The sequence below is a fragment of the Homo sapiens genome, chromosome 1 (genome assembly GCF_000001405.40).
Source record: "Homo sapiens chromosome 1, GRCh38.p14 Primary Assembly".
Taxonomy (NCBI): domain Eukaryota; kingdom Metazoa; phylum Chordata; class Mammalia; order Primates; family Hominidae; genus Homo; species Homo sapiens.
The window spans coordinates 221,734,341-221,756,401 of NC_000001.11; the positions used below are offsets into that span (position 1 = coordinate 221,734,341).

Consider the following 22,061-nt stretch of genomic DNA (forward strand, 5'->3'; position numbering starts at 1 on the left):
TCTATGCAACTTAAATTAGTTAACAGTCACCAAGTTATTTTTAGGCCATAGCAACACACACACTCTACTATACCTAGCTTGTTATTTGTACTCCTTAGGAACAAAATTTGCCTTTGTACTGGCACTATCATTTCCTTTCAATCAATATCAATAAAAACATTCTACCATATTTATGGAGTGCTTACCATGTATGTGTATAAAGTTCTGAACACTTTACACACATTAATTCATTTATTTCAGAAACTAACACTTTGAGATAGCTATTGTTATATCCTCTTTTTGTTAATGAGGTAACTAAGGAACTGAAGGATTCAGTTCCTTCCCCAAGGGCACATACCTAGTTAGAGGGGAGCCAAGGCTAGCATTCAGGCTGACTAGATCCGAAGTTCTGCCTTGATTTCTCCATCATTTGCTACAAGGCTAATGTTTGACATTTTAGCCTTGGATGTTAACCAGAGGCTCAGAATAACAACAGCACGTTTATGAATGTAGATATGTCTTTATTTCAGGTATTTTTTAAAATCCTCATAACATCTCTGAGAGAAAAGGGGAGACTTTTATTCCCTTCCCCACCCCACCCCCGAAAAAAGGGCAGAAACAGAATATTTTTCACAGGTCTCTGATTTCTGAGCCTAGCCATCCACTTTGTCATAGAACTCTATTGCCAATAAGAGTATATTTCAGAATTCTTTTCAACTAGGGAAAAGTGTGCAATGTATGGTGCTCAATTCTAAGGAGTGATGAAGTTTTATAGTATAAAGGCCTAACTGCCTGCATGATCAAATCCTCCCCATGGATCATCCTTTTAAACCATTTCCCTCTTCTTCTCACATTCCCCCAGTAAAGGCCTTTGGTACAGAGCAGTCCTATAAAGATTGTAGCAGTTGGTCATTCCTTGTTTTACAACAGCATAGAGCAAGTAGAGGCATGGGCTCTGACATACCAGGGAGGAAGGGGGACACACAGACCCCAAGGAGGCACCTGGAGCCCTCCTACTCCCAGGGAGGGAAGCTCCTCTGTAGACCTGACTGCCAGTCAGTCACAGAGGGATTCGAAGTTGAAAAGCACTTAAAAATGGGTACATGACACTCAAGTGTTTACGAGTGAAAATGTTCATAGTATACTATAAAATATTTCCAGCTTTATTGAATTTGAAACATTAATTTACACATTAAACATACTTAAATACATTAAAACATTATCTATATTTTTAAATATTTCAACAGAAAAGAGAAAGCAAATAGGAAAAATATAATTGTTTAATCTGGTTGATAGGTGTATGGATGTTCATTACACACTTTTCTGCTTTTCTATATGCTTGAAAATGTTTATAATAACATTTTTGAAGGCATATACTGTCTTTAAGAAAAAGGGGCAGTAGACTATTTCTTCCTACCTAAGTAAATGACAAATTATTTCCCTGGACCCAGCTTTACTGAAAAGAAAGGGAGCCTGAAAAACTTTATAGCAAAAACGGTAGCTCTCGTTATGGATGGTCTAGAATTGTTCAACTTTCTTACTCAGTTTGACTAGAAAGCAAGTTTTAGTTGATTAAAAATCAGCTTTGAGTAAAACAATATAATTCTTTCAAAGACCTCACAAATCCCTAAATATTTATTCATTTGGATCATTTTCACCAGGTTGAAGAGAAGCACAGGTCTGATGCCATTTATTCTTTAGAAGATGAGACTAAAACATAGATTCTAGCATAGGTCACAACAGGGAGGGCACTGTAAATTAGAACAGTAACTTAATCCCAGGGGCTGCCATGCCTCTGATCGGTTTCTTCCCAACCTGACACAGCATTACTAAAATGGCAAGTTAGCAGCCGCTCTACTTGACAGACAGCACCAAAAATGGAGAGTATGGCATGGAGACAGGGGGACAAGGATCTTGGACAGGGAGGGTAGCAACCAGTGTTTACAAACATAAACCAGAGCATCAGATGGGCCAGCCATAAATTACCCAAGATTGTACTGAAATCTCTGAAAATAAACTAACAAGCCTTTAGAAGTTTCCTCCTTATGTTCTAACTATGCCCCCCTCCCACCAACTTCCCTGCAAAAATTACTCCTTCCGAAATGGTACCACTACCACTCTTGCTGAAACACAATCTTATCACCAAGGGAGGGGATTACTCAAATAAATCTGAGAGGAGAAGCCAGACCAGAATGGTCTGCTTGACCCACTCAAGAATCTGAGAGAAGTCTGCTGGTCATGCCTTTGGGGAATGCCCACCCCGTCTTTCACCACAGTGGTGCTATGGTATTAATCTCTGGTTTACCAAGTTGAAAGGATAACGAAGGGCATTCTAATATTGACCCATTCCTTTCCCTTCTTTTCCATCTTGGTCCCAATTTTAGGCCATTCTCCCAAAAGATACCAAAATGATAATGATAATTATAAAGTAGAATATAGACCCCTTCACTCCTGAACTACATATTTTCAATGAAATTCCCAGATATTTGAAGAAAAGGCCCCCAAAACTACAAATAATCTAACCTCTACCACCAGAGCATCTTCCAAGTCGACTGCCGCGGTGTCTCACCAACTCGAAAATGACGAGGCCTCGCAGTGGCTGCCCAGGGCGCCCAGTGGTGAGGTCAGCAGTGTGTCCTGCCCCGCCCCATTGAGGCAATCTTACTCTGACACTGAGGAAGAAGTCTAGGCTGTCCAGAATCTCAGCTGCATCCACAGGAAAGGGAGAGAGGATCCTCACTTTCACAAGTAGCACCCAGGAGATTCATTTCTCAATGACTGATGGGTCACCCCTATCCACAACTCCACCCACTGCAAAATAGAGAGTAGGGTCTGCAACTCCTTGTAATCATCCCCATGATTAGGAGGTCTAGGATCATCTTGATCCGTGTTGTTTCCTCTCTTCAGATCATGAAGACACAAAAGACTTGCTTTTTATCATGAACACCTGCTCTGCGTGAGAAAAGAGGAGATCATCATGATCATTGGCTATCCTCCTCTTTGCTCCCCAAGACAAACTATTACAAATGGGAAATTCCTCGGTAGGATTTTCTCATTTGTAAGAGGCTAGACACATCAAGATTATGGTAAGACAATAGCAGGGTAAATATCCTGGGAATCACTCAAAGTCAACCATACAAGAATACAGAAACAATAAAATACAGAGCTATATGGAGGAAATCTGAACATATTTGTGACCTCAAGAAAACCCACCACAACCACCACGACCAGGAAATGTCTAGAAGCTTCTGGAACTCTCTACATACAATTCTTTCATGTTCTCCTTCCCAGCAAAGCCCACCAGCCCTAAGGAGAGATGTGCCTTTGTGGTAGTGTAGCCCCATGAGGGCAAGTTTGAGGAGAGCGGAGGGTGGGAAGAGGAGATTGTGTCAGTGGAATTCAGAACTATAATTCCCAGAACACTGCTTAACAAAAGGCAGAATGCCCCACTGGGAAGACAAGAAGGAGAATGGCAAAGCTGTCCCATAGAGACAAAATAACTAACTTGCTCACCCACATGTCCTATTGCAATTTAAATATGCAATGTGTTCAAACTCAGCAACACCTTTGGTCAACACACTTTAGGAGACTGGTTGGAGATGTGACCCAGAAACTGCGTACCTTGGCTCAGAACACAAGAGGAGAGAAGAGAGAAGACGACTATCTCTCACTACCACCACCAGGTAAAAGATGCCGAATGAGAGTGATGTACAGTGCCCCAAAAGTCAGTATCTGAGGGCAAAGAGGTGCAACTAGGCTGGGCACAGGATGCAGGCTACTTGGAAAGGTTAGGCAACACGGTATGGAAGGTGCTCCGAGAAGAGTGGTGAATAATTCCTTCTGCCAGAGCTCAGTTCTGCTAATCTCAGTTATTCTGCATTCAGTATACTGGGGCAAGTGACCCATTACTCCATCTTGGGAGGAGCCATGATGCCAACCGTTGTCAGGTGAGGCCAGAAAAAACAATGGGTTGGGGAGTGTTTCATAAAAACGTCTCTGTTCCCTTGGAGCCTTGGCAGAGGAATGGATGTAATTGGTGAACTTATACTTTATATGGGGCCTTAGAATAAGAAGCTCTGCCCTTCTTCAAGGTCACTTTATAAACCACATAAAAGTCAAGCTGGTCAGAAAGGTGAGAAAGAGAAAGAATTTCCCACAGTAAGAACTGGTACCTGTAGGTTTACTTGTAGTTCACCATAGTTGCTCCTTCCTCTGTTCCATCAACATTGGTTAAGTCTGAGAGACAATAACTTTCCAACTAGTGATTGATTGGAATAGAGCTAGCAGACCAGGCATGACTTGAGATACCATCTGGTGTGTATAAAGCCCCTTTTTAGAAAGATGAGAAAACAGTCCCAGAGAGGTGAAATGACTTGCACAATGCAAATTAGAACCCAAATGAAGGGTAGAACCCAGATCTTCTGGCTTCCAGTTCAGTGCTGCTGGGTTTTTCTTACTAAACCAAAACAATAAAGAGCATAGAAGGGAAGAGAAGAATAAAGTCTATTTTGGTCTTTGGTAGCCAGGGTAAGGAGAATGCTGTCACTCTACGAGAAAACCCAAAGTGAACCCGGCTAATCAGGACCGTGCTTGGGAAGGGAGCAGGGGCATTACCTTTCAACACCAGAGGTTCTTTGCCTTCTCTCTTCAGGGACTCGAGGACTATGTGAAGTGGCTGGGAGGGCATCACTCGGCTTGGTTCATTGGTATTCTCATCATAAACTATAATTTCTTTGGAAAAGATCCTCTTGAAAGAGTCCTTGCCTTCCCTACAGGAAATCAAGTCTAGGACAGTGATCTTGCCCTGCTGCAGTCTCCGCCGGCTGATCTTATCGGCACAGTTAATGTGGACAGCTCCTTGGATGTGACTCTTGTTGTACTCCATGAAGGGCCTGCAGTCAATGATGACAGGGCCCTGACTCGGCAGGTGACTCTTGCTGCATTTGGTCATCTTCTTTGCCAAGTCATTGGGGTAGATTATTTTGATGCTGGCTAGCTGCTTGGGGGTCCCTGACACAGGGCTGCCCACCCCACTTGATGGACTTAGAGAGCCTGTATTCTCATTATTGTTGACCATCTGGTTAGCAGGGCAGGTGGTAGAGGTTCCGATGGCAGTGGTGGTGGTGCCAGCGGCAATGGCTTGGGTTTGGGCCTGATTGTCCTTGTCGTAGGTTGCCACAGTGCAGCAGCTGGCACTGCTGCATCCACAATTCAGCGAGCGGGCAGAGCCGCTGGATGAGGGCATATACGTCAGATTCGCAGCCTTGAGGGACACAACGGTGGTGGCGATGACAGGAGGGTGGCTGTTACTGCCTGGGTTGGCAGAGCCAAGGTAACTAGAGTCTAAACAAAGGTTGAGATCCTGAGGTCGGACGGGCCTAGATAGTGCCACTACTACCCTGTCGTCTAAAGGAGACGGAGGCATGAGGAGGCTGAAAACTGGCAATTCAAGAAGAACTCAAGACAGTCTGTAAAGAAGGGGAAGGGGGAAAGAAAGAATAAAGTCACGTGACACAAAAGGCAGTCTCATCCAATCCCTGGGAAAGACCTTTGCATCCCTCTGAGCAAAGTCGTCCTAATTGCCCTTTATCATACCATTATCAAAACTTGAAATTCATTTTTATGTATTCAAAGAGGATGCAAACCTGAGGGCTCCAATCAATTTGGTTGCTAAGTCTAAGGTTAAATTTGGATGTAATGTTGTAAATGTTAATGAACAACCTTTCCTGGACCTACATAAAAGTTCAGCTGTAGAGAAGGTATAAGCACAAATAATTAGAAAAGCTGAAGACAGAAGGGAGGCTCTTAAGAGGCATCTATTCTGAACCTCAGCTCTCGGGCAGAAGTACACTGCAAACATCTGAGAAAGACCCATTTGTCCACCCTTGCATGCTTGCCATTTAATTCCCTCACTCGCTGCAAAGGCAAAGGGGTAACCAAGAGCACTGGCATGGTTCACAGAAAGGTACAGCAGCTAAATATACATCAGGGTGGATGTCAACTTTCTGCAAATCCCCTTAAGTGAATCTCTTTAACTTGGAGCTATTCTTGCCTTCCATTCTCTATTGGGGTCCTTTGAAAAGCACAACATAGTCATACTAAAACCTCACATGTTGTCTTTTGGCCTCTTATAAATTAATCTGCATTTCCCCTTTTCACTACTAACTGGTGTCCTAAAACGAAATCTCAAGCCATGGAGCCAGATCTGGAAACCTGGAAACCCCAGCCCCGGCAAATCCCTCACCCTTTGCTCTCTCACCTGCCCCCGCCCTCATTCCTGCCTGGAAAGGACAACTTGGGCTCTCCTCCCCTCTTCATCTCCCTGGCTGGCACAGACTGTGCATCCTAGAGCTTCTCTCAATGGGAGGCAGCCACGTTGTATAAGGTTTCAATCCCATACAGATATCCCCCCTTCAAGAGTACTGATTCCGTAAAGAGGACCTCCCAATTAGCCTGTACTCGTTGAAAGGGACAGTGAATTGTTGCCCACCGGATCTATCTCTGATTTCAGAGTGTCTGCAAAAAGACAGCTCCTTCCTCCTGTAGGCACAGGGGCACTCTACAACTCAGGCTTGCTAACTCTTCTTCTTCTATTAGACATGCACATAGCAAAGACGCCAAACCCCACGCCAAGAGACGCTCACCTAAACGAACTTTAAGAGCTATCAGGAAAAATGCCATCTATCATCCGTCTACACACGACCGTCACCATTCTCATCCGTCTACACACGACCGTCACCATTCTCTGACACAGAACCAAAGTGTCACAGGCGGAATCCACACTCACGCGCGCACACGGGGCACGCACCCATCACGTCGGCAGATCTCCAACGACTCGGGTTTCTCTCACCCACCTTTGGATGGGAGCGAAGGAGTCAACCCCCCTTCCCTTGCGTAGTATTTTTTCTGAAGAGCGAGTTCTATTCCAGAAGCTATAACTGTTTCCCGGTTGGACCAAGCGGTGAAAGTCTTTGCTATTGTGTTACCTGGTAGGACACGTCCAGGATCAACATACCATTTCTTCTGAGAGGGACGCATAAGCGTGTTCACAGAGACACGCGCTGGGACCCCCACCTCCACACAGAGTTCAAGGCTCACACACACACACACGGAGTGTATAGAGAGACCTGCATCCCTGCAGCAGAGGGTCGGGCGTACATACTGCCCGTGAAACCATCCAGTCTGGCCCAGAAAATCTCCCAGAGAAATACTGAGCTATCCCCTCTCCCTTCCACCACTAGGCAAGAGCTGGAGAGAAAATTAAGTGGTTAGAGAATGCTTCTTCCCCATTCCTGGAGCACTTAACATCCCCCCGCCCCCCGCTTCACTCCTCGGCACACAGCGCACTAATGAGCCCCGAGCATTTAAAACTGCCGCAAAGCATCCCAACAAACCTCATTTTTTCTTCGCCCCAAATCCAAGTAGACTGCAGGGAGTAAACGCACAGGGTAGCAGGAGCCAACGGCCGGAACCTTATAACCCTACCTGCTGTAGCTCCTCCGTCAGCATCGCATCTCTATCTTTCTGTCTCTGTCTCTCTCTCACACACACACAGATACACACACACAAACACACACACTCACACTCACACAAGCACCGCCTTACAATCCTCCACCTCCAGTCCCGGGCTCTCAGGAGTAGTCGCGGTGACTTCCACTTACTTCATAAATAAGTGTATTCCTCCACCATCTGGCGCTCCTCTTCAGCTATGGACTCGCACATTCAGCCCCCATTCACTCGGCTTCATTGATCTCCAGCAGCAACATAGTTACTTTCTCTTTTGCTACACTGTAAATGTAAGGTTCTGAGGGGGCGGACTCGCCGCCGACCGACGGCGGGTTGGGCCAATAAGAATCCGGAGAAAGCCGACCGCTACCTCACAGAGCCCCGCGACCAATGGGCAGCCTAGGGGGCGGGTAAGAAGGCGTGGCCTCATCTCTTTAAGGAGGGTTTATCCGAAGCTGCTCTGGGTCCTCGGTGTTAAAACACGGGCGGTGATGTCATTGGCAACCAATCAAAAACTTAAAAGAGCCAGCCGGGGCCGCGCGGAGCAGCTGCTCTCTATTTACATGTAAACCGAACCGGCAGGATGCAGTTAACCCTTTACCAGGCTGAAGTGTCAGCGGGCTGGACGCGCTGCTCCGCTAAAACTGGCTCTTCCCACTGGACGGGATCCTCCAACACTCCCTCACCCGGGGACAAACCACGCTATTTTTCCTCCTTACTATGGACAGATGATCAAAAGTATCGGAGTAACTTTCTAAAGGAAAGAGACTGCGATCACCGTCCCTAGTGGGAAAGCCGGGTTCTCTCCGAGTCGCTCGAGGTGACTTGACAAACGCTAAGCCAAAATTCGCGGACCTCGCCGGGTCTTCTGCGCTAGGACCAGCATGAGCGCGCAGCCAGGGGCGACGCTTCCGCTCCGAGCCGCGGCCCGGGGCCACGCGCTAAGGGCCCGAACTTGGCAGCTGACCGTCCCGGACAGGGAGGCCCTTCAGCCTCGACGCGGCCTGCGTCCTCCGGAGGGCCCTGCTCCGCCCGGGAAGCGTCCGCCTCCCGCCCGCCCGCCCGCAGATGTCGCTGCCCCTCTGGCTGTCCCGGCCTGACCGCCGCGCGCCGCCCTGCTGCTCACCTACTTCCGCGCCACGGTCACGCCCCTGCCGTCCCCAGGCTAACCCTCCCGGGGCTCGACCCAGAGCACTAAGGCGGCGCCACTGAGGGCTGCTCGGAGGAGGAGGCTTGAGTCGACGCCAGAGGCGGCAAGGGACGCGCCCTGAGCAGCGGTGCAGAGGCCAATCCCCTGGCCGGGCGTCCTGGGGCCCGCTACGCGCCCGCTGCCCCTCCGGGTCTGGGTCCCCGCCCGCCGCCGCCCCCCTTTCCCGCCTGGCGCGCTGGGTCCCCGCGCCGTGCCAGCAGCGCGCAACCCACCCGCCCCACATGCCTCGGCCGCCACCCCTCGGTCCCGCACGGCCCCTGCCGAGGCCAGGACCGGCAGCCCGGCGCTTCTGGAACAGCCGCAGCTGGCGGAAAAGAGCCAGAGCCGAGTGCAAATAGCTAGATTGAATGGGGCCGGAGGAGCGTGGAGGAGGTGACGCCGCCTCTCCCCGCTCCCCTGACTTTGGCCGGCGCCAGGTAGCTGGCCGCAGCTCCTGATCAGGGAGAAGAGTAGGGGGCGGGGCAAGCCGCCCCTTGCCTAGTCCGGAAAATATTCTCATTAGGGAAACTGCAGGAAAGTTGCCCTGGGATACAAAAAGAAGTGGAGATGAACAACCCCAGATGAACTGTGGAGAGTCTACGTCCAAGAACCCTAAAGAAGTAGAGCTTTTTCTTTTCTTATCTGTGAGAGAAGGGATAAAAAGTGAAATAATGGAATAATACATTATGAGCACTAGGGAATGTTGGGCTATCGTTTTTCTCCCTTACCTGATTGGATGGGGTTTGGAGGTCTACTTCAGACTCCAAGCCTAGTAGTATACTGAGTAGCAGGGGCATATTCATGTAATTGTTTTCAGGGCAGATCTGAAATCAGGAGGTGTCAGACCATAGCTAGCAAGTCAGCTATGCTCAATGAGCTGTGAAGAGAAATCCCCTTGGGCACCTCCACTTACATGCAGGCACATACCCCCCAGTCCAGCTTTTCACACCAGTGTTACGACGGGCATCACGTACACATCCGATAGTCTTACATAGGAGAGGATTTTGTGTAACGTCTGTTGTCGAAAATAGTCAAACTCTGTAAAATATTTGAAGAGATTTATTCTGAGCCAAATATGAGTGACCATGGCCTGTGACACAGCCCTCAGGAGGTCCTGAGCACGTGCCCAAGGTGGTTGGGGTCCAGCTTGGTTTTATACATTTTAGGGAGGCATGAGACATCAATCAAATACATTTAAGAAATACATTGGTTTGGTCCAAAAAGGCTGGACAACTCTAAGGAGCGGGTGGGCTTTCAGGCTATAGGTAAATTTAAACATTTTCTGGTTGACAATTGGTTGAGTTTGTCTAAAGACCTGAGATCAAAGAAAGGAACGTATGGGTTAAGATAAGAGCTTGTGGGGACCAAAGTTTTATTATGCAGATGAAGTCTCCAGGCAGCAGGTTCAGAGACAATAGGTTGTAAAATGTTTCTTATCAGACTTGAACTCCATGTTGATATATAACAGGGCTCATCCCACCCTCACTTCCCCTCATGGCCTGAACCAGTCTTTCAGGATAAATTTTACAGGAGCCTGGGTTGAGAAATTAGTCCGTTGGTTGATATATAATGAATGGGGCACGTCCCACCCTCACATCCCTTCATGGCCTGAACCAGTCTTTCAGGATAAATTTTACAAGAGCCCTGGTTGACAAATTAGTCCGTTCAGAGGGTTGCCTGGGAAGGCGGGGTGGGCAGGGGGTGGGGCGTGGGGGGTGCTTAGAATTTTATTTTTGGTTTACACCTCTCTCCATCCACACACCAACACACACGTCAATTCACCCTCCTGATAATAGCAGAGTGCTTAGGGCACACCATTTGGTTCTTAAATGTTTGAAGATCAACAGGTTATGGTCAGGAAACTTGGGTTCTGGGTAATTTCTATACAAATCAGAAAAGAACTTCCCAGAGGTTCTACCCTTGATCTATCTGGAGCTGGAAGGCTGAAAGCTTACCTTTCCCTAAACATAGACAATTATGGGAAAATTTTTCATTAACTCAGAGTTTGAGAGTTCTAAGTTCTGATTCTGACTCTATCTGTTATATCTGTTCATCCAGTCTCTGTCTTCATTTATCCATAGAATGGTAATACCCCAACTCAGAAGAAAAAGGGAACTCATTCAAGCGCTCAGGGGGGAAAAAAGATCCCCTGCTGATAAAAGGCATTCAGTGGAAAAAAAAATTAATTTACTTGCTTTAGGAAATAAGGTGCCTATCTTTAAAGGTATATATGATCTATAAATGATGAATTCATTTCTAATGCCTCAACATCTAAGCCCAAAGTATAGATTTATACAATTGCAGAAGAGTTCTTAACAGCTTTTCCCACAAGGCCCAAAATGGAAAAGTAATTTCAAGAAGAAATGTAACTCTTGTAATGAGATGATTGTTTTATTATAGTTTCAAAGTAGTAGATTATTATAATTTAGTTGACTAAGAATCTAAGCCATCCAGGCTGAAACATTGGGAAAGATGGCAAAATTCCTTATCATATATCAAGCCTGAAATGTGGAATAATTACCAGATTATGAATATAAGCAAAGTTGTAGTTATTTTTTAAGTTAGGCATCTCTAAGTTTATATTCAAGTCATAAGACTGGTGAAAAAAATCAGATTATAGATGGAATTTTTTTCCATTCACTACTCTTCAGAACATCTTTTGGACAAGAAGAAGTGATTTTATTCCTGTTTTTGAGCGATAAATGTGAAAATACTACACTGAAATATAATGCCCTGAGACTTAAATTCGTAATGCTAGTCAGCCAATGGCTACAAATCTGATCTGTATATCAATAACCAGCAGCAGAGCGTTAATGTTAGTTTCAGTCCCAAAGAAAGAGTGAAGCATCTTCATTCAGTCTGGATGTTGTAACATGATTGTATTGAGCATATCTTTGTTCCCACAAACATCATAAGAAAAATATTGACTGTTTCAGCTGAAGTACTATGTATTAAAGTCAAAAGATGACAATAACTTAGGCCAACATATAAGATATAATATGGATAGTATTTAGCAAATGTATTAATTAAATTACTTCTTTTTTGTGCACTTAAATGGTTAAGTGTGTGGGGTAATGGCAGAAGGTGGGGCCTTCAAAATAATCCTCAAGGTCAAGATAGATTTCTGGAGGTACTAGAATTAAGGCAGAGAATGGCTTGGAGAAAACTTAAAAATCATCCAGGATAAAGATGATATTATACCAGAAGGAGTGGGGAATAAGCTGAGGAATAGGAAAGTGGCATGGTAAGTGTTTGAGGTCATTGAGACCAGCCTGGCAAAACATCCAGCAACACTCTCCAGGCCTAGGGAAGGGCTGATAAGAAGTGTTCCCTGAAGGAAGGAGCTGCTATGGTTTGAATGTTCCCCCAAAATACATGTTGAAACTTAATCACCAGTGTGACACTATTAAGAGATGAGGCCTTTTGGAGGTGGTTAAGTCATGAGGGCAGAGGCCTCATGGAAGGGATTAGGGCCATTACAAAAGGGCTTCAGGGAGTGAGTTAGTTTTCTTCCATTCCCCTGTGGGGACACAGCAACAAGGTGCTATCTTGAAATCAGAGATTGGACCCTCACCAGGCAGTGAACCTGCAGATGGCACCTTGATCTTGGACTTCCCAGCCTCCAGAACTCATGTGAGCAATAAATTTCTGTTCCTTACAACTTCCCCAGTCTCAGGTATTTTGTTATAGCGGCACAACTGGACTAAGACAGTGGCTACTGTAATGATGGAAACAGAGGCAGGGCCATGTGCTTGTCCCACTATCTATGAGTTTGGACACAAGAGGCCTGCAGTTCTTTCCTACAAAATTCATGGGCAGGTGTGCTTGTGACTCAGGAAAAGGCTCTGAGCCATTTAAGGCTCTATATCTGTATTTTCCAGTGTGGTGGTCATTTGACACATGTGTCGGCCACTCGAAGTGTGGCTAGTCTGAATTAAGATGTGCCATAAGATTAAAATACACATTGGATCTTGAAAACTTTATATACAAAGGGTAAAAGACATCAGTGCAAGTGGGAGGCAATAGAAATGGGAGCAGGGGTGAACTGGTGGAGCCTCTGTGACCACAATCTTGTCCTCCACACCTTCACACTTGACAGATGCAGATATAGCTATGGATAGATATATGTCTTATTCATGGGCTTCCAAAGTAAAATTTCAGTTAAAGAAAGGATCCTGGTTGGGATTTTTTTGTTGTGGTGGTTCTGGTTTTTTTGTTTGTTTGTTTTTTGTTTTTTTGTTTTTGAGATGGAGTCTTACTCTGCCGCCCAGGCTGGAGTGCAGTGGCATGATCTTGGCTCACTGCAACCCACGCCTCCTGAGATCAAGCAATTCTGCCTTAGCCTCCTGAGTAGCTGGGACTAGAAGGCATGCACCATCACGCCTAGCTAACTTTTGTATTTTTAGTAGAGACGGGGTTTCACCATGTTGGTCAGGCTAGTCTTGAACTCCTGACCCCATGATCCACCCACCTCGGCCTCCCAAAGTGCTGGGATTACAGGCGTGAGCCACCACGCCCATCCTCTGTTTTGTTTTTTAATCCTGTTTCTCTCTCTTTTTTTTTTTTTTTTTTCCTGTAAAGCAATTTCACTGGATGGCATGGCCAAAGCATGATTGATCTCAGACCTCTTTTCAAGGTTCACTCTGGCCTCTACTGATCACACAGAGGTGACTGGCTGGTTAGGGGAATTAATATGCTCCCTGTCTTCATTTAGGCAAGCAGATCCCTTTCAGTTTTTTCTTCCCCTTCACTGCTCCCCTATTTGTAACCCCACAAACATCTGCTGCTCTTTCTCAGAAGAGGATTTTGCCTCAGCCCAAGTGTGTGGACCATGGATGTAAACTTATTTTCTTTATGAAAATAACACACACAAAACATTCACTGGCCTTGGGTCTCCAACAATGCCCTCCTCTGTGGCGGATGGCCTGTTATTATTATGTGTTGCTACATCAAAGACTGTTAACATTTTCCCCTTCACTAAACTGAGCAATCATGTTTTATCATTACGATATGCTGTCAGCGCCAGTTTCTCAACCCCAGGAGGCTGGGTCCAACTGTGTTACTGAAGGATGCAAAGTTATAAGGTAAACATGCACGCAAAGCATTCATAAACCCCCTCAAGACTTGTTTCAGGTCTAACACTAAAGAATTAATCTAACGTTCTCAGCATCTCCTAGTAGGTTCAGACTGTACCACTTCTACATATAAGAAGTTCCTTTAGACAACAAAGTGCATCATAACGTACTTTATCTTTACAATTGAATATTAACTGAACTGATTTTAAAGATCTAGAATTTGGGAAAAAATAATCATAGGTAACATATTACTAAGTGTTTTGTTCTGTGCTAAGCACTGCTGTAAGTGATTTACATGCATTAACTCACTTAAATCCTCACAGCCACATCGATCTATAAGTAAGTACTTTTTTATTAGCTTAATTTAAAGATGAGAAAACAGAAATACAGATGGGGTAAATAATTTGCCCAAGGTCACAAAACTAGAAAGCAGCAGAGTCAACACTTAAACCCAGACAATCTGGCACCAGAGCATCTGCTTTTAACCATTTTGTGTTATTTCATTCACTCTTGTTGTGATTTTATAAACTTCTATCATGTCCCCCTCAGTCTCCAGACTGCAGTATATTTTTAATTGCCTGTTCATAAGAATTTGCTGTTTTTTTCTTTTGTTTTCTTCTGAACTTTTCTAAGTCCATCATGACGTGAATCTCCATGTGGTCTCACTCTTACAACCGCAGCCTCCACATTGGGGAATGGATCCAGACCTCCACTTTATTTCCAGAACAGTCTCAAATATTGCCCTAAATTGTGTCAATGGCTTGGTTGCTACTGCGGATTGGACTGGTAAATTCAAGGAAGAGCCTATGACACTTCTATTAGAAAAACCATGTCTTGTTTGCCGTCCCATCCCTAGCCGGTGGCCCGGGAGCTAGCACGTAGTTTGAACTCATTAAGCTTCGGTTCAGTGAGTGAGTGACTGAATGAATGAATGAACTGAGAATGTTTTTTAAACATACTGTCTTTGTCCATTCAGACTGCTATAACAAAATATCATAAACTGAATGCCTTACGAACAACAGAAATTTATTTCTCACAGTTCTGGAGGCTGAAAGTCCAAGATCAAGGTGCCAGCATGATCAGGTTCTGATAAGGACTCTCTTGTGGGTTACAGACTACTAACTTCTGGCTGTGTCCTCACATGGTGGAAAGTGTGAGGGTTCTCTCTAGGGCCTCTTTTATAAGAGCACTAATCCCATTCATGAGGGTTCTGCCCCCATGATCACCTTGGGCCTTAGGATTTCAACATATGAATTTTGGGGGGACACAAATATTCAGGTTGTAGCAAGAACGTACCTTTGAATTATTCATTTTTCTAGAGGCATACCCTGGTCCATCTGATGATAGCTTTCTAGCTACTGGTTTGGCCTTCTGTAATAGCTGGAAACTTAGAAACCTCCAAAGTCCCTAAATTCACTACTCTTTTGAATTATTTATGCAGATATTAACCAAGTGTCTATCTCTGGGGAGCTACGTTGTTTACACACCACTTGTTTTGTTTTGTTGTGATCATATTTCCCTCTTTACAGTTTAACTCCATTTCTTTCCCATAGAATTTAGAAAACATCAGCATCTTTCTCATTATAATCCATCTCATTATACTCCATACCATACTTGATTTTTGTTTTGGTCAATGCTCTTTGCAATTATGATTGTCTTCAATGTTTAGAAAAAATTCCTCTTCTTGTTCACTGAGTTTCAGGAGGATGAAGGTATCTTCCTTTTCTCGTTCAACATCTTCCTTCTTGTAATTCTCAAAGGCATGCATTTCCTGGTGTTTATCTCCCTGACAGACGGATTGTCCAGTGTTTATTTTCTCTAGCATGTGACTGATGCCAATAAATAGCTTTCTTCAGAAAGGCATTTAATCAAGGACCTGAGCCTGGACATCAGTGAGTTCTTCGTCTTCCTGGTGGTTGTGCTCTGAAAGGAAATGCCACTACTGATTCTGGGTTAGGTGGGGAGCAGCACCCCGAGAAGTCCTGTTTCTAATGCTCTGTGAATGGGCCCAAGTCCACCTGGATTTCACACCCAGGGGGAGGGTTCAGTGTTTTCCCTGGTCTAGCTGGTAAATAAAGCAAACACTTTGTAATTATACTCATGACCAGCAAGGGCCAAGAATGTACAAACATGGTGGATGAAACCCTTTCTGGGTGAATTTAAGTGTCTATGCTATGCTAAATACTGAGCCCACAGTACCACTCAGGCATATAGTAGGGGTATTCAAATTAATCCAAATCAGGTCAGGTCTAGTCAATTCGAGTTATTCAACAGGTAAGAGAAAAATCCTTATTGGAACTGGCTAAAATTTTAGTTCAAGTAGAAATGTTAGAAAAGAAGCAAATGTTATTTTTGCCATTAACTTGCAGGTCACAAAAATTTAGAATGCAAGAAAGATAAATAGATTGGATCAGAAAGTAGCCAGAGAGCTGGCGCTGTGCTTCATTCATCTGCCAGTGCTCACCATCGCAGGTATGGTGACAGAAAAACTGTATCATTTTTCTACAGTAGTAAACTAAGATGTATAATTCACAAGGACTCTTAGCTCCTTCATGCTTCAGTTTGCAATTCCTATTCCCAGTAATTAGGAAAACTGAAGCAACTCTATGAACCGCCATTCTAAACCTTAAATTGGATTAATAATAGCAAACAGTCCAATGAAGTGTCTTTTCTATATTCTGCAGAATAGAAATGCCAATAGATTTGGACTCCCTTTTCAACACAGTCCTAATCTTCATGTAATACATGAGTCCCCCCGAATATGGATTAGAGGAGTTAAAGGCAGACATTTTAACTCATCAAACTTGCCCAGCATGTTAAAGAAGGACTGAAAGAAGTAAGGCAGGCAGGCAAAAAGAACAGTGGGCTGACTGGGTTTTTTGTTTTGTTTTGTTTGCTTTTGTTTTAAAATTTAGTTTGTATTTTGACTCCAGAGTTGGGAAGGGTAACTTTGGGCAGAAAGAAGGCAAAGAGCAGACAAGTAGAGGGTATTTTGCTATTTCCAGAAATTTACAATTTCACAAGCTATTAAATAGAATAGGATCTGGTTACAGAGGGGTTGTTGAATGTTTGCTGGCAAAAAAAAAAAATGTGATATTACTAAAACTCATTCTGATTGACTTCAGCAGACACTGGGCCCCACCACCTCCTGGGATAGAAAAGAAAGAATAGGGCTGTCTGTGTTGGTGCATGTTAAGGAAGGCTGCACTGGCTTAGACAGGCGCCAACTGCTTTTGTACAGTTGAGGGATGTCAAGCACACACCTGGGGCCCCTCTTTTTAAACCCAGGAGAACCTCAAAGACAAGTTCCGCTAGTCCCATGGTATAAGGAGTAGTTTGTGTCTCTCTCTGTGTGGATGCAGAACTTCCCCTTTGTATGTTTAAGCTAGTGCAATCTTCCTTTCTGATGGTTAATTCTGTGGCCAACGTGACTGGATCATGGGATATGTGGTCAAGTGTTATTCTGCTTGTTTCTGTGAAGGTGTTTGTTTGTACGAGGGTGTTTTTGAATGAGATTAACATGTAAAGGGGTGGACTTTAAGTAAAGCAGATTACCCCCCATAATTTGGGTGGGCCTCATCCAGTCAGTGGAAGGCCTGAATGGAACAAAAGACTGACTTCCCCTGAGCAATGGGAATTCTGCCAGTCAGCCTTCAGACTTTAACTGCAACATTGGATCTTTCCTGGCTCTCCAGCCCATTTGCCCACCCTGCAGATTTTGAACTTGCCAGCCTCCATATTGCATGAGCCAATTCCTTAGAATAAATCTCCATTTATACACATACACATCCTGTTGGTTCTGTTTCTCTAGAGAATCCTAATACACCCTTTTTCCCCTTTGGTGGACAGAGCAAAGCATAGCCTAAAAGATGAGAATTGTACCAAGTGTCCTGCAATCCTGTCCTGTATTACTAAAAATGTACTGAATTGGGTTCATCTTCATCTTTGAGTAACATAATTTCCATGAGTTTAAAACTACCCTAAAAAGGTGATGAGGATACACTTAATAGATCTAAGATAGAATTGTTGATGCCAAAGAAAAACAAATTTCCCCCCTATAATTTATTAGGGAAAAATAGAAAATCCCAGTTGAAGTTTCTGGCTTTGGGATTCTAAAGAAATCTGGAGATTGGAATGATAAAAATAAACCTAAGATACAGTTTCTGAGCCTCTGATTTGTGTCCATTCAGCCTGAAGGAAGAAATATATGAATATTTTTACTTTCCCCCAAATGCATATTTAATCTTTTTCTAAACATCCTGAATTTTGAGACTGTCAGGAGTTTCCATAGTAAGAACAGATTGATTTCCCAATTTTATAGCATTTATTAAGAAAGCCATTTTAAATCTCAGTATTAATGTTGACATCTTGTTGAGGTTATTTATTTGTTACTTCTGCTTTCCCAAGTTAATCGACATATGGTTGAATTATAAAATCTCAGCTAAGAGCCTAAGGAGTGGATTTCTCAAGAAGAGTTCACAGTTCACGAAAGCAAATCAGAGATAAAAATGCATGCCATTTTTGCAGCTGCCTTATGTTTTTTGTTTCCCTGGCTCTTTATCAGAGATATGTAGAGTGCTTGACTGTGAATATATAGTTCTCCATTTCATTCTCCCTCATTTCTAGTAGACTGGAAGCCCCCTGCCTGTTAGCCAGACCAGCATTGCTCCAACTCCAAAGGCACACAGATCCCTGGGGGGCTTGGTTCAGTAGGTTTGGGATGGGACTGGAAATTGTACACTTCCTTGCATGCTTTCCAGCAATTCTGAAGCAACTGGACTACATATCACACTATGCTTGTCTAAATCCACACCCTCCAATACAGTAGCCACTAGCCACATGTGGCTATTTGAGCCCTTGAATTGTGGCTTGTCTGAATTAAGATCTAATCTAAGTATAAAATGCATACCAGATTTCCAAGATTCAGTAGGAAAAAATGGACAAAATATTTCATTCATAATTTTTTATTGATTACATGTTAAAATAACATTTTAGATATATTAGGTTAAATAAAACAGTACTAAAATTAATTTCACCTGTTTCTTGTTATGTTTAAACATGCAGTTACTAGAAGATTTCAAATTACTTATGTTGTTTGCAATTGCCACTTACATTATATTTCTTTTGGATAGTGCTCCTCTAGATCAACAGAGCTGGACTTGGAGAGACTGTGAGGGAGAGTAACTTCTCTGTTCCTTTGGTCACTTTTCACCAGGTACTCGATCCATCTCTTAATCTATCTCCTCTGCTCTTTGGAGCTGCTGTGGAATGATTTATTTCTGCATTCCTCCTCTAGGCCCCTTCATGGTTGCTCCCAACACTACTTGGCCATCTAGGGTGCTATCTGTCAGGATATACACCTTCTAGCAAGATATAGCCAAAAATGACATGAAAGATCTCTCAAAAATTCATTAATGGGACTCTTCTTTGTTCCCAAAAAACTTTGTGACACAAACATTGCATTTATAAAGGACCAAGTCTCCTAGGAAACATGGCATGGGCTTTAGAATCAAGTGACCCTGGAGTTTAATTTGATCAACTGATTGATTAGATCATTCAGTAACCTACTCTGTACCTACCTCTTAAGTGCTAGGGATTCAGTAATGAACAAAATGAACATTTTCTCTGCTTTAAAGAGCCTACTGTTTAGAAGAGAAAATGGACATTAAACCAGAAGGCACATTAATAAATATATAATTAAAGAACACAACTCCAACTTCTCTTTTGTCTTGTATAAAAATTCCTTACTCTTTCTGAGCCTCAGTTTATTTTTTGGTAAAATGGGAATAATAACACTGCCTTCCTGAGTATTGTGAGGATTAGAAATAATGATTCTATTTGTGTACTTAGCATAATGTCTGACACAGAGACCAGGTGCTCAATGGATGGTTTTTGGATGGCTAAAACAACGAGCACCCTAATCATATTTACAGTAGCTGGTTAGGTTATTGTTGCATGGCAGATTGTAGGTGAATTTTGACTCCTGATGTAACTCACACTTCTTGAGTATATTTTCTAAATCTATTCATGGCACATATAAAACATGCAATAAATGTTTCTTGAATCAAACTCTACCTGGAATAGACTTTGGAAGTGTCACAACACAACCCTGCTCATTTTGTGGAAGAAAAAAGACAAAGTTGGAGTGACTTACCCAGAAACATACTTTCAATAGTAGTTTCAGGAAATAAACTATTTTCAAAAGAAACTATTCCAGGAACATACTTTCATTAATAGTTTCTATTTGCATAAGACACTTACGCAGGAACGTACTTTCAATAATAGTTTCAGAAAAGAAACTATTTTCAAACTACTTTCAAAAACTATTTCAGAAATTAGTCATATCTGCTAGGCATTTGTGGAAGGAGAAGAATTTGTGGCCAAGTGGTCAAAGAAGTGAGGGAAGAGGCCGGGCGCGGTGGCTCACACCTGTAATCCCAGCACTTTGGGAGGCCGAGGCGGGCGGATCACGAGGTCAGGAGATAGAGACCATCCTGGCTAACACGGTGAAACCCCGTCTCTAATAAAAAATACAAAAAATTAGCCGGGCGAGGTGGCAGGCGCCTGTAGTCCTAGCTACACAGGAGGCTGAGGCAGGAGAATGGTGTGAACCTGGGAGGCAGAGCTTGCAGTGAGCCAAGATCGTGCCACTGCACTCCAGCCTGGGTGACAGAGCGAGACTCCGTCTCAAAAACAAAACAAAACAAAACAAAAAAACAATAAGTGAGGGAAGAACTGGCAGAACGAGGACCTTAGAAATGAGGAAGTTTCAAGAAGAGTAACTGATGTTTGACTAAATGTCAAACATTGTGAAGAATTTTAGTAGGTGGAAGATGGAAAAAAGATGTGGCCATGACAACTGAGAATCTCACCGAAAGCAGGTTGCAGAAAGGGAGGGAGTTGTCCCCTGAGGGACAGTGGAGGTGAGGAAGTAGAGACAGACTGACAAAGACTTCTCTTTCAAAACGGTGTGTGATAAAGGAAAAGAGAGAGCTAAGGAGCTAGATGCAGTAGCCAGGGGTACCCAGGAGATTTCCTGTTTATTTTTTTCGGAATGGAGGATTTGAGTGTATTGGAGTCTGTGTTGAGGAGTTCATGGAAATGAACTCCTTTCAAGACGTGGAAAGTACAAGGGGGAGACAGTTGTCAGCACCATGTCCTGAATGAAGGAGAATGAATGAACGGGTCAGCAGGACCGGGGGCAATTATTCTATTCTTTATTTTTATTTTTTGAGATGGAGTCTTGCTCTGTCACCCAGGCTGGAGTGCAGTGGCTCAATCTCAGCTCACTGCAACCTTCGCCTCCCAGGTTCGAGTAATTCTCCTGCCCCAGTCTCCCGAGTAGTTGGGATTACAGGCGCATGCCACCACACCTGGCTAATTTTGTATTTTTAGTAGAGACAGATTTCACCATGTTGGCCAGGCTGGTCTCAAACTCCTGATCTCAAGTGATCCACCTGCTTTGGCTTCTCAAAGTGCTGGGATTACAGGCATGAGCCACCACACCCGGCCAGGGGCATTTATTAGCCTTCAAAATTGAGGAGGCACCTTTGCTTCTGACATGAAATGGAAATATGAATAAATATTTAGCTATATGTTGAGAGGAGAGAAGGTCAGTTGAAGAGGTGAAGAAAGAGACAAGACCAGCTATGGAGAGTGAAGATGGCATCATATGGGGATGGTCTACCTGAACATCTAGTCCCAACTTTCCTGAGCTCCTACCCTAGACCTGAGCTTCTCAAAGTTGGGGTCCCTTGGGCCAGTGCAGGATAACAGATTATTTGTTGCTGGCTCAAATTCAGAGAAGCAGCTTGTGTTGGAATGCAAGCAAACAACTGATTTTCTTCTTCTCTTTGAAAGAAGCACAGCATTAATTTACCTTCTGGCAGCACTCTGTTTCTCATTACAGTGTCCAGAGCAGGTACTTTCAGGAAACACTGATCCACACAATTTCCTACTGACATATCAATCTCAATACTCCAGAGACATGTCTAACCAACCTGAACTCATCACCTTACTTCCTATACTTTCTTCTGTTTGTTTACTCTTCCTCGGTGAGTTGGTGCCTTCCATCGCCAAGGCATCAAGCCAGAAGTATGGAGGAGTATTCTTCTTCACCTGCCTTGACTAATCATTCACCAGCCTAGTTGATATTCTCCCCTACATAGCTCTCAAATCCACCCTCTTCTCTCTATCCTCATTACCACCGATCTAGTCTAGGCCACCTTGAAATTTTGCCTGGATATTGCCAGGCAAATCCAAGCAAGCCTTTCTCTACTCTGCTGCTCCAGTGAGCTGTCAAAAGTCCAAAT

The 22,061-nt window shown here is 43.8% G+C and overlaps 1 protein-coding gene across 5 annotated transcripts in view, besides 11 other annotated features; it reads right to left on the bottom strand.

Annotated features, from left to right (window-relative positions):
- DUSP10 (dual specificity phosphatase 10) overlaps nucleotides 1-7,749 on the bottom strand; it is a 40,666-nt gene extending 32,917 nt beyond the window's left edge. Inside the window, exons 1-3 of one of the 5 annotated variants that reach the window (XM_047442942.1) lie at nucleotides 7,641-7,749; nucleotides 4,594-5,447; nucleotides 1,095-2,790 (exon numbers count right to left, since the gene is read on the bottom strand). In XM_047442942.1, the coding sequence (XP_047298898.1) occupies nucleotides 2,744-2,790; nucleotides 4,594-5,404 (858 nt within the window). In that variant the 5' untranslated portion in view covers nucleotides 5,405-5,447; nucleotides 7,641-7,749 and the 3' untranslated portion in view covers nucleotides 1,095-2,743. Of the gene's footprint in view, nucleotides 1-1,094; nucleotides 2,927-4,593; nucleotides 5,448-7,640 lie in introns of those variants that run through there. The other 4 variants (XM_017000147.3, NM_007207.6, NR_111940.2 and 1 more) reach the window with 4 other exon arrangements.
- Nucleotides 4,174-4,403: an enhancer, noted in NCBI's record as "active region_2562". NCBI's record gives its function as "activates an Ori minimal core promoter by ATAC-STARR-seq in GM12878 lymphoblastoid cells {active_cell/tissue: GM12878}" and the evidence as "EXISTENCE:reporter gene assay evidence [ECO:0000049][PMID:35858748]".
- Nucleotides 6,286-6,425: an enhancer, noted in NCBI's record as "active region_2563". NCBI's record gives its function as "activates an Ori minimal core promoter by ATAC-STARR-seq in GM12878 lymphoblastoid cells {active_cell/tissue: GM12878}" and the evidence as "EXISTENCE:reporter gene assay evidence [ECO:0000049][PMID:35858748]".
- Nucleotides 6,736-6,785: a silencer, noted in NCBI's record as "silent region_1830". NCBI's record gives its function as "represses an Ori minimal core promoter by ATAC-STARR-seq in GM12878 lymphoblastoid cells {active_cell/tissue: GM12878}" and the evidence as "EXISTENCE:reporter gene assay evidence [ECO:0000049][PMID:35858748]".
- Nucleotides 6,819-7,456: an enhancer, noted in NCBI's record as "NANOG-H3K27ac hESC enhancer chr1:221914501-221915138 (GRCh37/hg19 assembly coordinates)". NCBI's record gives its function as "activates a minimal SCP1, AML or CMV promoter by ChIP-STARR-seq in primed H9 embryonic stem cells {active_cell/tissue: H9 hESC(primed)}" and the evidence as "EXISTENCE:reporter gene assay evidence [ECO:0000049][PMID:30033119]".
- Nucleotides 7,457-8,094: an enhancer, noted in NCBI's record as "OCT4-NANOG-H3K27ac hESC enhancer chr1:221915139-221915776 (GRCh37/hg19 assembly coordinates)". NCBI's record gives its function as "activates a minimal SCP1, AML or CMV promoter by ChIP-STARR-seq in naive and primed H9 embryonic stem cells {active_cell/tissue: H9 hESC(naive and primed)}" and the evidence as "EXISTENCE:reporter gene assay evidence [ECO:0000049][PMID:30033119]".
- Nucleotides 7,566-7,755: an enhancer, noted in NCBI's record as "active region_2564". NCBI's record gives its function as "activates an Ori minimal core promoter by ATAC-STARR-seq in GM12878 lymphoblastoid cells {active_cell/tissue: GM12878}" and the evidence as "EXISTENCE:reporter gene assay evidence [ECO:0000049][PMID:35858748]".
- Nucleotides 8,086-8,285: an enhancer, noted in NCBI's record as "active region_2565". NCBI's record gives its function as "activates an Ori minimal core promoter by ATAC-STARR-seq in GM12878 lymphoblastoid cells {active_cell/tissue: GM12878}" and the evidence as "EXISTENCE:reporter gene assay evidence [ECO:0000049][PMID:35858748]".
- Nucleotides 8,086-8,985: a biological region, named in NCBI's record as "H3K27ac hESC enhancer GRCh37_chr1:221915777-221916414".
- Nucleotides 8,095-8,732: an enhancer, noted in NCBI's record as "H3K27ac hESC enhancer chr1:221915777-221916414 (GRCh37/hg19 assembly coordinates)". NCBI's record gives its function as "activates a minimal SCP1, AML or CMV promoter by ChIP-STARR-seq in naive H9 embryonic stem cells {active_cell/tissue: H9 hESC(naive)}" and the evidence as "EXISTENCE:reporter gene assay evidence [ECO:0000049][PMID:30033119]".
- Nucleotides 8,506-8,985: a silencer, noted in NCBI's record as "silent region_1831". NCBI's record gives its function as "represses an Ori minimal core promoter by ATAC-STARR-seq in GM12878 lymphoblastoid cells {active_cell/tissue: GM12878}" and the evidence as "EXISTENCE:reporter gene assay evidence [ECO:0000049][PMID:35858748]".
- Nucleotides 19,976-20,135: an enhancer, noted in NCBI's record as "active region_2566". NCBI's record gives its function as "activates an Ori minimal core promoter by ATAC-STARR-seq in GM12878 lymphoblastoid cells {active_cell/tissue: GM12878}" and the evidence as "EXISTENCE:reporter gene assay evidence [ECO:0000049][PMID:35858748]".